At 58.2% G+C, this 13,931-nt stretch overlaps 1 protein-coding gene and 1 long non-coding RNA gene across 4 annotated transcripts in view, besides 9 other annotated features; one reads left to right on the top strand and one right to left on the bottom strand.

Annotated features, from left to right (window-relative positions):
* Positions 1-13,931, top strand: part of CPLX1 (complexin 1) — a 41,173-nt gene that overhangs the window by 24,873 nt on the left and 2,369 nt on the right. For both annotated transcript variants that reach the window (NM_006651.4, XM_011513391.2), the window contains one exon: positions 8,649-8,824. In NM_006651.4, the coding sequence (NP_006642.1) occupies positions 8,649-8,824 (176 nt within the window). The remainder of the gene's footprint in view (positions 1-8,648; positions 8,825-13,931) is intronic.
* Positions 1,287-1,786: an enhancer, noted in NCBI's record as "H3K4me1 hESC enhancer chr4:793259-793758 (GRCh37/hg19 assembly coordinates)". NCBI's record gives its function as "activates a minimal SCP1, AML or CMV promoter by ChIP-STARR-seq in naive H9 embryonic stem cells {active_cell/tissue: H9 hESC(naive)}" and the evidence as "EXISTENCE:reporter gene assay evidence [ECO:0000049][PMID:30033119]".
* Positions 1,822-2,021: an enhancer, noted in NCBI's record as "active region_21137". NCBI's record gives its function as "activates an Ori minimal core promoter by ATAC-STARR-seq in GM12878 lymphoblastoid cells {active_cell/tissue: GM12878}" and the evidence as "EXISTENCE:reporter gene assay evidence [ECO:0000049][PMID:35858748]".
* Positions 4,108-13,483, bottom strand: LOC105374339 (uncharacterized). 2 transcript variants are annotated; one of them, XR_925031.4, is made up of 4 exons: positions 13,391-13,483; positions 11,900-13,308; positions 5,151-5,977; positions 4,108-5,036 (listed from the first exon to the last, which is right to left on the bottom strand). It is a non-coding gene; the product is annotated as an uncharacterized LOC105374339 (long non-coding RNA). The 2 variants fall into 2 exon arrangements; XR_925032.4 differs by having other exon boundaries at positions 11,900-13,294.
* Positions 6,176-6,405: an enhancer, noted in NCBI's record as "active region_21136". NCBI's record gives its function as "activates an Ori minimal core promoter by ATAC-STARR-seq in GM12878 lymphoblastoid cells {active_cell/tissue: GM12878}" and the evidence as "EXISTENCE:reporter gene assay evidence [ECO:0000049][PMID:35858748]".
* Positions 6,756-6,875: an enhancer, noted in NCBI's record as "active region_21135". NCBI's record gives its function as "activates an Ori minimal core promoter by ATAC-STARR-seq in GM12878 lymphoblastoid cells {active_cell/tissue: GM12878}" and the evidence as "EXISTENCE:reporter gene assay evidence [ECO:0000049][PMID:35858748]".
* Positions 7,916-7,965: a silencer, noted in NCBI's record as "silent region_15110". NCBI's record gives its function as "represses an Ori minimal core promoter by ATAC-STARR-seq in GM12878 lymphoblastoid cells {active_cell/tissue: GM12878}" and the evidence as "EXISTENCE:reporter gene assay evidence [ECO:0000049][PMID:35858748]".
* Positions 9,253-10,062: an enhancer, noted in NCBI's record as "H3K27ac-H3K4me1 hESC enhancer chr4:784983-785792 (GRCh37/hg19 assembly coordinates)". NCBI's record gives its function as "activates a minimal SCP1, AML or CMV promoter by ChIP-STARR-seq in naive H9 embryonic stem cells {active_cell/tissue: H9 hESC(naive)}" and the evidence as "EXISTENCE:reporter gene assay evidence [ECO:0000049][PMID:30033119]".
* Positions 11,295-11,794: an enhancer, noted in NCBI's record as "H3K4me1 hESC enhancer chr4:783251-783750 (GRCh37/hg19 assembly coordinates)". NCBI's record gives its function as "activates a minimal SCP1, AML or CMV promoter by ChIP-STARR-seq in naive H9 embryonic stem cells {active_cell/tissue: H9 hESC(naive)}" and the evidence as "EXISTENCE:reporter gene assay evidence [ECO:0000049][PMID:30033119]".
* Positions 12,301-12,800: an enhancer, noted in NCBI's record as "H3K4me1 hESC enhancer chr4:782245-782744 (GRCh37/hg19 assembly coordinates)". NCBI's record gives its function as "activates a minimal SCP1, AML or CMV promoter by ChIP-STARR-seq in naive H9 embryonic stem cells {active_cell/tissue: H9 hESC(naive)}" and the evidence as "EXISTENCE:reporter gene assay evidence [ECO:0000049][PMID:30033119]".
* Positions 12,801-13,302: an enhancer, noted in NCBI's record as "H3K4me1 hESC enhancer chr4:781743-782244 (GRCh37/hg19 assembly coordinates)". NCBI's record gives its function as "activates a minimal SCP1, AML or CMV promoter by ChIP-STARR-seq in naive H9 embryonic stem cells {active_cell/tissue: H9 hESC(naive)}" and the evidence as "EXISTENCE:reporter gene assay evidence [ECO:0000049][PMID:30033119]".

Below are 13,931 nucleotides of genomic sequence, written 5' to 3'. Positions count from 1 at the left end.
TCCACCTCCCAGGTTCAAGCAATTCTCCTGCCTCAGCCTCCCTAGTAGCTGGGACTGCAGGCACGTGCCACCACGCCTGCCTAATTTTTGCATTTTTTTTTTTTTTAGTAGAGATGGGGTTTCACCATGTTAGCCAGGCTATTCTCAATCTCCTGACCTCGTGATCTGCCCGCCTCGACTTCCCAAAGTGCTGGGATTACAGGTGTGAGCCACTGCGTCCGGCCAACCTTTTGTTTTTTTGAGACAGAGTCTTGCCTTGTCGCCCAGGCTAGAGTGCAGTGGCACGATCTTGGCTCACTGCAACCTCCACCTCCAGGGTTCAAATAATTCTCCTGCCTCAGCCTCTCAAGTAGCTGGGATTACGGGTGCCCGTCACCATGTCTGGCTAATATATATATATATATATACATATATATACACACACACACACATATATTTATATATACATACGTGTGTGTATGTATATACACATATATGTGTCTGTGTGTGTATATGTGTGTGTATATATATATATATATATATTTTTTTTTTTAGTAGAGACGGGGTTTCCCCATTTTGCCCAGGCTGGTCTCGAACTCCTGACCTCAAGTCATCTGCCCGCCTTGGCCTCCCAAAGTGCTGGGATTACGGTTGCCCGTCACCATGTCTGGCTAATATATATATATATACATATATATACACACACACACACATATATTTATATATACATACATGTGTGTGTATGTATATACACATATATGTGTCTGTGTGTGTATATGTGTGTGTATATATATATATATTTTTTAGTAGAGATGGGATTTCCCCATTTTGCCCAGGCTGGTCTCGAACTCCTGACCTCAATTCATCTGCCCGCCTTGGCCTCCCAAAGTGCTGGGATTACAGGCGTGAGCCACTGCGCCCGGCCTAAGATCTTTATCAGATGTGTGGTTTGCAAATATATTCTCTCAGCCTGTGGTGTACCTTTTCATTTTTTAAGACAGTGTCTTTTGAAGATGTTAAGAAAAACTCAAACTGTTTTTCCCTTTGCCCTCACTCCACAAGGATAATCAACACAGAAGATGTCTGTGACCAAATGTATGAAGGTTTTCCCCACCCACCAAGCAAGCAGTCAGTCCGGCAGTGGACAACAGCAGGGTGTTCTCCAATTCAATTCCATTCTGATGCTGTCTACCTGGAGACAGCCTCAGAAACCCCACGTTGAGGGCTCAGTCCCACAAGGCTGCCCCCTCCATCCCACCAGTCGCAAGTCCAGGACCCTAGAATGTCTGAACGACCGGCTTCGAGTTGGGGTTCATGCGACCCCTCTTGGGTTTAATTCCTAGAGCAACTCACAGAATTCAGGGAAACATATGCCTATGGTTTATTACAGAGGATCTTTTTATTTTTTATTTTTTGAGACGGAGCCTGCCTCTGTCGCTCAGGCTAAAGTACAATGGTGCAATCTCGGCTCACTGCAACCTCTGCCTCCTGGGTTCAAGCAATTCTTGTGCCTCAGCCTACTGAGTAGCTGGGATTACAGGCACATGCCACCATGCCTGGATAATTTTTGTATTTTTAGTAGAGACGGGGTTTCACCATGTTGACTGGGCTGGTCTCGAACTCCAGACCTCAGGTGATCCGCCCATCTCGGCCTCCCAAAGTGCTGGGATTACAGGTGTGAGCCACCATGCCCAGCCTACAGAGGATATTTTCAAGGATACACATAGCCAGATGAAGAGACACATGGCCAGGCCTGAAGGGTCCCAAGGATAGGAGCTTCCACCCTGTGGAGTTGGGGTGCCACCCTTCTGAGGAGCTTCCACCCCGTGGAGCTGGGGTGCTACCCTCCTGGCACGTGGATGAGTTCTTCGCCTTCCTTCCAGCCTCCATGTGCCCAGCTCTCTGGAAGCTCCTGAACCCCGCCTCTTGAGGAGACTCCATCGGATAGGCATGGTGGAAGAAGCATGGACGTCCCCGTAGAAATGCGACCGATGAAAAGGGTGTGATCTAAACCCAGCAAGGCCTGTCCAGATTCCTCTTGGCCTCTCTCTGTAGCGTTCCTTCCTCCAGGGCACGGGGCAGGGCCCCTTCTGAAATGAGGGCTTATGACTCACCAACAGGAAGTCAGGGGAAGATTTGAGTCCTGCCCTGCACAGGTGAAAAGAGGGCAGAAGGTCAGAGAGAGGGGTTCTGTTTCCTGATTCTAAAGGGCCCCAACATTATAACAAGGGCCATGGGAGTGAGAGGCAGGAGCCATAGATGAAAACATATATATATATCTCATAATATCGCAGAAGAGCAAAAATGTTTAATGTTGATGAAATTCAGTTTATCAATTTTTCTTTTTAAGATTTATGCTTTTGTCACTTATATAAGAAATCTTTGCTTAAGCCAAAGTCCCAGAAATTTTCTCTTCTGTTTTCTTCTAGAAGTTGTATAATTTCAGCTTTGACATTTAGATCTATGATTGATTGTGAGTTCATTTTTATATAAAGTGTCAGGTAAAGGAAAACATTTACATATGTGTTTATTTTGCACATGGATATTGAATTGAGCCAGTGCGCTTCTGAAAGCACTATCTGGCCGGGCACAGTGGCTCACGCCTGCAATCCCAGCACTTCGGGAGGCTGAGGCAGGCAAATCACTTGAGCCCAGGAGTTCGAGACCAACCTGGGCAACATAGTGAGACCTTGTCTCTACAAAAAATGTTTTTAAAAAATTAGCTGGGCATGGTGGCACATGGGAGGCTGAGGTGGGAGGATCAGTTGAGCCCAGGAAGTTGAGACTGCAGTGAGCTATGATTGAGCCTCTGCATTGCAGCCTGGGCAACGGAGCAAGACCCTGTCTAAGAAAAGAAAACAGAAGTAAGGACTATCCTCACCCTCATTGAATTCCCTCTGCAGCTCTGTCAAAAATCGATTGACAATATATGTATGGGTCTATTTCTGGACTTTCTATACTTTCCATTGATCTAGATGTCTGTTCTTTTTTTTTTTTTTTTTTTTGAGACGGAGTCTCACTGTCACCCAGGCTGGAGTTCAGTGGTGCCATCTCGGCTCACTGCAACCTCCACCTCTTGGGTTCAAGTGATTCTCCTGACTCAGCCTCTCAAGTAGCTGGGATTACAGGCACACGCCACCACACCCAGCTAATTTTTGCATTTTTAGTAGAAACGGGGTTTCACCATGTCCATCAGGCTTGTCTTGAACTCCTGAGCTCAGGTGATCCACCCACCTCGGCCTCCCAAAGTACTGGAATTACAGGCGTGAGCCACTGTGCCTGGCCTATATGTCTGTTCTTTTGTTTATACCATAGTGCCTTGATTATAGTAAGTCTTTTTGTTTTTTTGAGACGGAGTCTCGCTCTGTTGCCCAGGCTGGAGTCCAGTGGCGCGATCTTGGCTCACTGCAAGCTCCGCCTCCCGGGTTCACACCATTCTGCCTCAGCCTCCCGAGTAGCTGGGACTACAGGCGCCCGCCACCATGCCCGGCTACTTTTTTGTATTTTTAGTAGAGACGGGGTCTCATTGTGTTAGCCAGGATGGTCTCGATCTCCTGACCTCGTGATCCGCCGGTCTTGGCCTCCCAAAGTGCTGGGATTACAGGCGTGAGCCACCGCGCCCGGCCTACAGTAAGTCTTAAAGTCAGGTTGTGGCCAGGCTCAGTGGCTCACGCTTGTAATCCCAGCACTTTGGGAGGCCGAGGCGGGTGGATCAGGAGGTCAAGAGTTCGAGAACAGCCTGACCAACACGGTGAAACCCCGTCTCTATTAAAAATACAAATATTAGTTAGGCATGGTGGCAGACGCCTGTAATCCTGGCTACTTGGGAGGCTGAGGCAGGAGAATAACTTGAACCCGTGAGGTGGAGGTTGCAGTGAGCTGAGATCCTGCCACTGCACTCTAGCTTGGGCGACAGAGCTAGACTATTTGCTGAGCACCTGCTGTGTGGCAGGCTCTGCTCTAGGTGCCAGGGCTGCAGCTCCGAGCTGACTGCCTGCTCCCATGGGGCTTTCTGTTAGCAGACTGGCAATCAGAAGCAAACAAACAACAGATGGCACCATTTCAGGTAATGGACAACTACAAAGGGAAATACAGCTGGTGACGGGCCAGAGAGTGGCAAGGACTGTGTTTTTCTTTGCCTACATTTATTTGGGATTCATGTTTAGTTCTACAATCAATAAGAATGTGTCTGTGTGTTGTGCAGGGGTCCAGTTTTATTCTTTCCCATTAAGTATCCTGTCCCATCTGGGGATACTGCATTCTTTCTCCAGGGTCCTGAGCCTCCACCTCTGTCTCTGGTCCCACGTGGGGGTCCTGTGTCTGTGGGGGTCTGGGGATGGGCTCCCCACTCTGGGCCCGTTGTCTGTCTTCCTCCCACTGCACCATCATCATTCTGTCTTGGTATCTGGTGGACCTCACTCTCCTCTTTTTCCTTCAGGTGTCTGTCCTGGCAAATGGGCCTTTTGCAGGTCTGTATGCAACACTCAGCTTGTCAGATTTCACAGAATTTTCTTCTTAATTCTTCGGAGTTTGGGGAGGATGGACGTCTTTACGTGTGGAGTTACCCTGGCCAGAAAAATAACAAGTGTCTTTCTTTATTTAGATATTGTTTAATTTTTCATTCAATTCTATAATTTTCCCCGTAGTTTTATTTCAAGTTAAAAAGCATTTTTCCATTCTTAAAAATTAACATTGGGCTGGGTGCAGTGGCTCATGCCTGTAATCCCAGCACTTTAGGAGGCCGAGGCAGGCGGATCAGGCAGTCAGGAGTTCGAGACCACCCTGGCCAATACGGTGAAACCCGTCTCTACTGAAAATACAAAAATTAGCCAGGCGTGGTGGCGCGTGCCTGTAGTCCCAGGTACTCAGGAGGCGGAGGCAAGGGAATTGCGTGAACCCGGGAGGCGGATCTGGAAAAGTGGTGAGGCCCACATGAAGTCTTCAGTGGGGTGGTCGCTGGTACCATGTCCAGGTCTCAGCTTTGACGAACACTCGGTGGCTGCAATGTCAGCGTCTAGGGAGCCCTCTTATACAATCTTTGTGACTCTTCCGTAAATCTACAATTATTTCAAAATGAAGCTTTAAAAATCAACTTTAATGGATGTAGTATTTACATATACATTATGTATAACGTATACTAAATTGAATGCAGCCATTGTCATTGTACTTACCGTGTAAGGGAACCCTGGGCAGGGTTTTGACCTCAGGGGCGGCTGCTCTGTATAAGCAGATCCCCCCAGAAACTGCCTGGGCGTCTCGGGAGCGTGGGTGCCACTCCAGCAAAGGTCTGGGAGGTGGGTTCCCGGGAAGAGCCTCAGGGCTGGAAACGCGCGGCCCTGACCCCACCCTCCCCGATGTCTGCAGAGGAAACGTCTCTGCTTCTGCCCCTTCTGCTACCGGGAGGTGGGGTGGGCGGTGGAGTCTCAGCAGGGCCAGAGGGCAGGGAGGCGCCGCGATCTGCACCCCCCCCCCACCCCCTCTCCACCCGGTTTGGGGCGAGCTCCCGGGTGGGAAGGGCCCCTCCCGCTGGGACTGAACTCCCTCCCCAGAGGGTTTATCCGCCTGTGCCGCTGTGGGGGGCGTTGCCAGCCCCGTCATTGCCGCGGGGTCGTGCCCGGTGCGCCCCCCCACCGCCTCCACCTCTCACGGGGGGAAGCTGAGGCTCAGAGAACGAGGTAGGGGTGGGGTCGGCCCCTGTACGTCGAGGCCAGTAGCGGACCCCAGCCAGACTGCGGGACCCCCAGCCTCGGATCCGACCCCCCTGCAATCAGAGTCGGGGTGTCCCAGCCTCAGGCACCACGTGGGACCGCCCCGCGCCGCAGCGGCCTCCTCTGGAAACGGGGGCGGGGGTGGGTCGCAGCGCCGCCCTCCTGCGGATGCGGGATGCAGCTCATGCTTCCAGGGTCCGGCGGGGTCGCGGGGTGTCGAGGTCGAGGCCGGCGGGGTCGCAGCAGTGCTCGGGGCCGCCCGTTCTGCGCCGGTCTCGCCGCTCCGGCGTCTGTGCCGGGAGAGCAAATGGCACTTTGGGTTTCTGTGCCAGGAACAAGCTTCCCGCAGTTTCTGTTGCGCTCCTGGCTGCGCCCAATTCCCAGCTTTTGGAAGTGGTTCTGGAGGCGCCTCCCTGCAGTACCCGGGCCGAAAAGCGGGGGGGCGTGGGCGGCATCTGTGACGCTCCCCAGGTTCGCGGCGGGTCCCTCTGAGCCTAGTGGCTTTGCAGCCTGCGGGGAGCACGAATCCTCGGCTCCTTAGAGGTGGGCCTTCCAGAAGCCTTTGGCGCCTGGACCAGCCCAGGGCTCAAGTGGGGCCTCCACACTCTCAGAGCGGGAGGGCCCCCCACAGGCACCCCTGGAGCAGAGCGCAGCACACCTGGTGCTCTATAAATGCCGGCTCCCGCGACCAGACCCAGAGCCTATGGGATCAGCTGGAGGGGAGGGAAGGGGCAGCCCACTGAGCTGCAGAAGCCCTGCAGCTCCCCACCCCTGCCAGGAACCCCTTCCATCAGGAGAGCAATGTGGGGAGAGACCAGGCTCACCCACCTCCTTATAGACGCCAGTCCTTTCCAGGAGGGAGAAAGAGCCACGGGTCACTCACTTTAGGGTGAATTAGCTTTTCTCATGGGGGTTAAGATTTGCACAAAGGCAGTCAGGACTGTGGGGGCTGTCCTTGCCTCCCCCACACACCTGCTAGAGACAGCCCGCTGGAGGCAGAGAGATTTTGGTCCAATGACTGGGGACTGTTAGAAGAATCCAGGAGCAACTCTACTGTGACCCAGTTTCCCTTGAGTCATGGGCCTAAAATCTGCTTTGCAAAACATGGCAGATGCGGCTGAAAACTGACCACAAGCCTCTTAGCTTTCTGTTGAGGAGTCCAGATCTGTGCTATCAGCCAAGTGCCTAGCATAGGCTGCCTGCCTGTCCCCAGCAGCGACGAGGGCAGCAAGAGGGGCTCGTTCTCCCCACACCCCACTGCCTGTGATAGCTTCAGACAGCCAGGATATGGGGGGCAGGGAAACAGGTGCAGTCGGCGGCGCCTGCAGGATGCAGGCATGGCCCTGTCTGAGTGACACCTTCAGCCCAGAGCACTCAACCAAAAAGCTATTCTCCTCCCACCAACAGCTCGGGCCTTCCAAATGACAGCTCCTGCCCACCCTCGACAGGGAGCTCACTCCTGAGTGACTGGCAGAGGCAGCACTGGCACAGATAGCTACAGGCGAGGGCGTCGCCCCAGGCTCCGTATAGCACGGAGCTTCCCGGTATCAGCATAGTAATGGCGAGGGGGAACCCAGAGCGCCAGGGACATGGAGCTGCTGAATCCACAGAAACGAGGTGGGGGGCACACCTGGACCCAGGTGGAAAGTGGCTGGGTGGTGTTAGTCTAACCCACAATTTCACCTGACATCTCTACCCGAGGCATGGGCTCAGCTGGTCGGGGGCAGTCCTTAGGAGGTCTGGCATCCAGGGGGCAGAGCCCAGAGGCAAGACCTTCAAGGAGGGGGCAGAGCCAGTGCCTCACCACTGAGGAGCACCTCGAGAGGGGGCCGGGTGGCCGCGGGGGGAGAGCGGCATTTGCAGGGGCAACGTGTGGCCAGAGTCCCCTCACACACACGAGGCTGGTCCAGGAGCACCCCTGCAACGCTGAGGGCTATAAGTGGCCATGGAGGAGCCTGGCCGCTCTGCCAAGTCACCTCCCTCAGTGACACCTGTGTGCTGGGTCCAGCCAGCTTGCTCTGCTCTCTGGAGCTGCCGAGGGCCAGGGCTCCCCGCAGTGCCTGCTGTATTCAGAGCCCGTAATTATGCATATCTGTCCTGTGGGCTGAGTTGCAGAGCTGTTTAGGGAGGTGTTTGTGGGGCCTGTGAATCAGCAGCTCATGAGAAAAGTAGTGACTAGCACCGCAGAGCAATTAGGGCCTGGGTGCCAGTAACAAGCGGTCCCCTGCAGCCCCAGCAGGGCCCCTGCCAACCCCCATGCCAGCTCCTGCCCCAGCAGGGCCCCTGCCAGCCCCCATGCCAGCTTCTGCCCCAGGGGTCAGACTTGGTGACCTTGCCTCTGACAGCCAGCCCTGCCCCTCAACCCACTGCCTGCATAGATGGCTGAACCGCACCACCTCCAGGAGGCCAGGCCTCTGCTGGACACATGACCAGAGAAGACGCTTCAACCCCTGGAAGCTCACACACAACTGCACGCGCAACCACAAGACGACAAGCCTGATCACACAACCGCATGCAGTCAACCACACACACATGCACAACCACACAGCCAGGCATGCATATGACACAAACACAGAACCACATACAGATGTACGACCACGTGGTGCACACACAAACACAACCACAACAGCCACACGTACGCATAAGCACGCAGTCACACACAGGTGCATACAGACGCGCAACCACAGCGCCACTCTCCCTCCCCCCACGGAGTTGCCTGTGTCTCTTGAGGAACAGAAAGCAAAGCAGGAGACCCCAGCACACTGGATGGAGGGTCCCGGGCAGGAGGGTCAGGGCCAGATGGAGGTGGGAGGAGCGGCTGGAGGGTGGTGGGGGCAGCCAGAGGGTCGAGTGGATGGAGGGTTTGGGGGGTCGGCCAGAAGGTGGGGGAGTGTGGCTGAGACACTAGCCCGGCCCTGGACATCTGAATGGGGCGGTCTGAATCACCAACTTCTGTACCAGGGGCCACCAAGGACATGGGGAAGATGCTGGGGGGTGACGAGGAGAAGGACCCAGACGCCGCCAAGAAGGAGGAGGAGCGGCAGGAGGCGCTGCGCCAGGCGGAGGAGGAGCGCAAGGCCAAGTACGCCAAGATGGAGGCGGAGCGCGAGGCCGTGCGCCAGGGCATCCGAGACAAGGTGCGCGCCGGGCCGGCCCCGCCTGCGGGAAGGCGGCCCTGAGTCCAGCGGGGACCCAGATCCCGCCTGGGTGGAAGGGGCTGCCCGGAAGAGGGGCGGGCGTCCCCCTGGGCCTCCTACCCTTTGGGGGCTTCAGAGTGGCGGAGGGGTGAGGGGTGGGGGCTCCGGGTTGGGCTCCCTCTGTGGGGCCCAGCCCCTCCTGCTCCTGACCACAGCGCCAGCCCTGGCGGGCTTCCTAGGCCCGCATTCCGATGCGCAGCCCTGCGTGGAGCCTGGCTGGCTGCCTGGGGCCCTGGGCCGAGGGGTCGTGGGGCGGCCACCTGGCATGGGGGGTGCGCTCTCAGGTGAGCCCGGCCTGGAGTGAGGACTCAGGGAGGGGGGCACCCACTGGGATTCACGAGGCGGCCCAGAGTGGCTGCCAGCACCAGGACAGCCACGCAAGGTCACTCCCACTCAGCCCGGTCCCCTCAGCGGCCAGGTCCGAGGGGCACGAGGCACAGGGAGCAGCCTGGGTCCCGACAGCCGCTCCGGCTTCCTCGGTGGCTCCAGCACGGCCCTGGCTGGAAGCCGGGTGGGCACAGACATCAGCCTGGAGGAGTCTCCAGCCAGGGGTGAGCGGGCATGGTGGGAGATGTTCACATCCCACGTAGAAGGGGCCTGGGGTGCTGCCTGGGGCGCAGTGCTCACCCCGTGCCCTGGCCCCGAGGGTAGGGGCCGCAGCAGGCCCAGCAGGCCGGAAGCTGTGTTTCCCAGAAGGTGGCCTCAGTCCCCTGCCCTGGATGGGCCAAGATGGCCTGGCTTCGGGGTGGGAAGGTTCAGACTCCCGGGACCCCTCCCTGCTGCCGGCGGCACCTGGAGCAGGTGGAGAAGCCGTTTCCTGGCCTTGTGTCAGCCGCACCCAGGGAAGGGTGGGCTTCACGGGGTGTTGTGGGGAAGCTGGAGCTCCTGAAGTGGACAGAGGTGGAGCTGGGAGGGCAGGGGCGGGGCAGGTGCGGCACATGCAGCCGCTGTACCCAAAAGGCCAGCTCCTCCCCACCCACGGATTCTCCCCACACCCTCCGGTCCCTCGCAGCCCCCCGCCCACCGCCATGCACCCTGGAGGGTGCAGAGAAGCCGCTGATGGGGAGTGGGGGCCGGGCGCCCTGGCATCCCACCCAGGGTCACTGGACGTTTCCAGGGATCTCCTGTTGATCGACTTTGCTGTGCTGGCTCAAGCCTCCAGCCCACCCCTCCGCCCCCCGCTCCCCGCCCCCCGCCCCGCAGCTGACCCAGGGCTTCAGGAGGAAGTCAGGAGAAAATGCACCATCTCAGCCAGGCAGCCACAGTCCACTGGGATGTGCTCGGGAGACTGTGGGTATCAGGAGCGGGAGACGGGGACAGGAGGAGAAGGAAGGGGGAGTCAGAGAACAGAGAGGAACAGAGACACAGAGATAAAGAGACAGAGAGAAGACAGAGGGAGAGACAGAGACACAGAGAGGGAGAGACAGAGAAAAAGACAAAAAGAGGGAAAGAGAGAGGGGAGAGAGACAAAGAGAGGAGAGACAGGCACAGAGAGAGGGAGAGACAGCAATCAAGGCCGAGACACAGGGAACAGAGAGGAGAGAGCCCCAGGCAGAGCTAGAGAGAGCTGACGCTGGGTAGAAGTGGAGGTGGCAGTGGGTAGCAGCTGAGGGAAGGACACAAAGCGATGGTGGGCTGGGGTCTGGGAGGGCTATGTGTGGGTCCGTGTATCCAGGGAGGTGTCTCTGGAGTGGGTCTGGTCCCCTGGGCTCCGGCCTCTGCTGGCATGATCCTAGAGGGACGCTGGCTGTTCCAGGCCATGTCATTCCTCAGGGTCCCCAGAGGCAGGATAGGGCAGGCTGAGGGGACCCCAAGGAGGTGGGGACAGGGCCAGCAGCGTCAGGGACCGAGTGGCCCGGGCAGGATGCAGCAGCTGCACCCTCCAGAGACTGGGAGATGCCAGGGAGAGTGAGGCCCAGGAGAGGGGGAAGCGTAAGCACCTCCTCAGCTTCCATGTGGGGCCCAGAGCTGGCAGCTGGGGTGCAGGGCTCGCCGGTCAGGCCTATGGGGAGCTGGCCGGACCTTGCTGCCAGGCACCAACCTGCGATCCTGCCTTGGTCTAAGCCCCTCAGAGAACAGCAGGTGGCAGGGATTGAGGCCACACACTTGCCCACAAGAACAGCCCCCTCCGCAGCCCACTGGCCCCTCAGGCCTTGGAAGCACCAGCCTCTCTGCTCTGGAGGCCCTGCCAAAGTGGATCCCCCCGGACCCCACGTCCACACCTTCCCCACAGAGTCCTCCTCCACAGAGCCTTTGGGGTGGGGGAACCCCGCCCTCAGGCGTGGCCACCTGTTGGGGTGGGGGAACGCTGCCCTCAGGCGTGGCCTTTGGGGGGTGGGGGAACCCCGCCCTCAGGCGTGGCCACCTGTTGGGGTGGGGGAACCCTGCCTTCAGGCGTGGCCACCTGTTGGGGTAGGGGAACCCTGCCTTCAGGCGTGGCCACCTGTTGGGGTGGGGGAACCCTGCCCTCAGGCGTGGCCACCTGATCAGAACACCTGCTGCCTCCAGCCTCCTCTGGGCCGTGGCACCCCCCGGCATCTTGGGGGTTGGTTAGAGAAGAGACGCTGAGCTGCCCTGTCCAAGGCCTCTGTGCAGATGGGGACTGGGTCCTTTTGGAGTGTCCAGCCCCCTAGGCAGTTCCCAGAGGAGCAGCGCGCCTGCACCTCCTGTCAGGCAGCCATCTGGACAGGCCCGGGCCCAGGGAGCAGGAGGGAGACTGCCCCGCTGTGCTCCGCGCACTGACCCGCCCTTGTCCTGCATAAGCTTCCAGCCACCCATGTTGGGCAGCCCACACCTGGGCCTTCCTGCACGGGCCTTCTGAGGGCCCACTAGGCTCCCTCAATACATTGCATCCCCCTACCCCCCGCAGCTCCCACAGCGGCTAGGAGGTGTCCACCTGGTTGCTGAATGCTGGCTGTTTGGTCCTATCATTCCTATTGTTGGTTCTCAGCATTGATTAGCACCCACTGCCCTTTTTTCTCACGAATACCGTGTTTTCAGGGTTCAGGGTCTCACCTCAGACGTGTCAGGGCCTCCTGGGCGCCCCCAGCAGCCACTCCCATCCTCAGGTGTTACTTCCTGGAGAGCTGCTGCCCAGCATCACGGTGGGCCTGGGGCTGGGTGTGCCTGGGCGTTTGTCTCTGGAGCAGACGCCTCAGAACTGGGTCTCAGCCAGACCACGTGGAAGCCAGGCTCTGGTGTGCAGCCCAGCCCCGGAGCCTGTTTTCCCGGCAGAGTGACCCTGGCCCTCAGGCCAAGTCCGGCGTGACCTCAGCCTCAGAATGACCTGGAGCCTCACTGCAGCAACTGGCACTTCAGGCCAAGCTCCGAGTGTCCCACAACCTGGTGGCAGGGCCTGGGGTCTCCTTCCTGGGCCCAGAAGGAAGGATCCCACACCGTTTGCAGACAGGGTCCCACAAGCCCCAAGGGTCACTCCCCTGACCTGGGAGGTTCCTTTGCTCACACAACTCATGTTCCGCCGTTACAGGCATGCTCCTCTGAGCACACACATGTTCCTGAGTGCTTTTGCTGTGGGCAGCACAGCCTCCTGGGCTGGATACACATGTTGCCGCCACATGCACAGACCCCCACACCCCTGGCTGGAGGGAGGCTCTCTGGCCGGACCTAGCTTCCAGTGGCATCGCTCTCCCCAGCACACCCCTGGCCCCACAGGACGAAGAGCACATGCTCCCTCCACTTCCGTGCCTGGAGCTGCTGCCCTTCCCGCTGTGGATGGCTAGGACGAGAACCAATCTGCTCTTGCTGCCCCACAGGGTCAGGGCTTTGTTCTGGGCCTGCAGGGCCCTCTGGGTGTCGCCCCTGTTGTGCGGAGAACGTTCCTACCCTGTGCTCTTCGTTTCACTGAGGAGACCCCTGGAGTCCCGGCTCTGTCAAGAGTGCGCAGGGGCTGCTGAGGACTAGGGCGAGCCCACGGCCCCTCTCTCCTCAGTGGCCAGGTGGTGGTCTGGCCACAGGCGGCTGGGAACGTGGCGCCCTCCTTTCCATCTCACTGAAGGTGGCCCTGGCCCCCCACACCCAGAGCCACCTGCAGCCCTAGGGGAGGGGAGAGGTGCCGAGACTGCCCTCGGTGGGGTTGGGGAGCACACAGGCAGCCCCCCCTCCATTTGGGAGGAAGGAGGGGCCTCCTTGGAGATCCAGGGGGTGCCCAGCACCAGGAGCAGAACCAACTGCTTCTATGGGGAGGGGCTGCTGAGACAGGAGCAGGAGATGGCAGGGGAGGGGCTCCTCCTGGGCAGAAAGGCCCCTCCCTGTGGCTGGTGATCCCGCGGTGTGCTCCTCCGTCCTGTAGAGTGCTGGTGCCCACTCCCCTCCTAAGTTTTCTCCTGGACGCAGCTGCTGACGCCTTCACTACTCCAGAGCACCTGTAATCTCAGATCCAGGACCTTGGACCTGGCCCGGGGGTCCTGTTCAGGGGATGGAAGTCCAGCTCCGTACAACACCAGGCCCCCAATCCTTCCAGGCCAGCCCAACCCCACTGGTTCCCACCTTCCTGGGCAGCAGGAGGCTGTTCCGTAGTTCCGTGGCCTGACCATGACCACAGGCTTCCTGGGCTGGTGGCTCACGGGAGGGCTGGAGGAGTGTGGCGTGGGGAGGCGTATTGATCTAGAAACCAAAACCCCGGGGCCTGACAAAAACTTAGAGGCCTGGAGGGCAGAAGAACAAAATCCCACACTCCCTCTGGAGGCTCTGGGGGAGGGCCCTTCCCTGCCCCTTCCTGCGTCTGGCGGCCCCGAATCCCTGGTGTTTCTTGACCACTCGCGACCTCCTCCGCTTTCGTATGCCCGCCCCCATCCGGGTGTCTGTCCTTTCTGTCTCTTACAAGGACACTCTCACTGGACTTGAGGCCCCTCAAATCCAGGATGGCCTCGTCCCCATCCTTACCATTATGAGATCAACAAAGACCTGTTTCCGAATGAGATCACCTTTGAAGCTCCAGGCAATATGAATTTGAGGGGGACAATATTCAGCTACTACGGAGGGCAGACGCACTCACGGGAGATGAGAAACGCGGGTGGGCAGGGGGTCG

This window comes from Homo sapiens, chromosome 4 (genome assembly GCF_000001405.40).
Source record: "Homo sapiens chromosome 4, GRCh38.p14 Primary Assembly".
NCBI classification, from domain to species: domain Eukaryota; kingdom Metazoa; phylum Chordata; class Mammalia; order Primates; family Hominidae; genus Homo; species Homo sapiens.
This window is presented reverse-complemented; position numbering and strand designations above follow the sequence as displayed.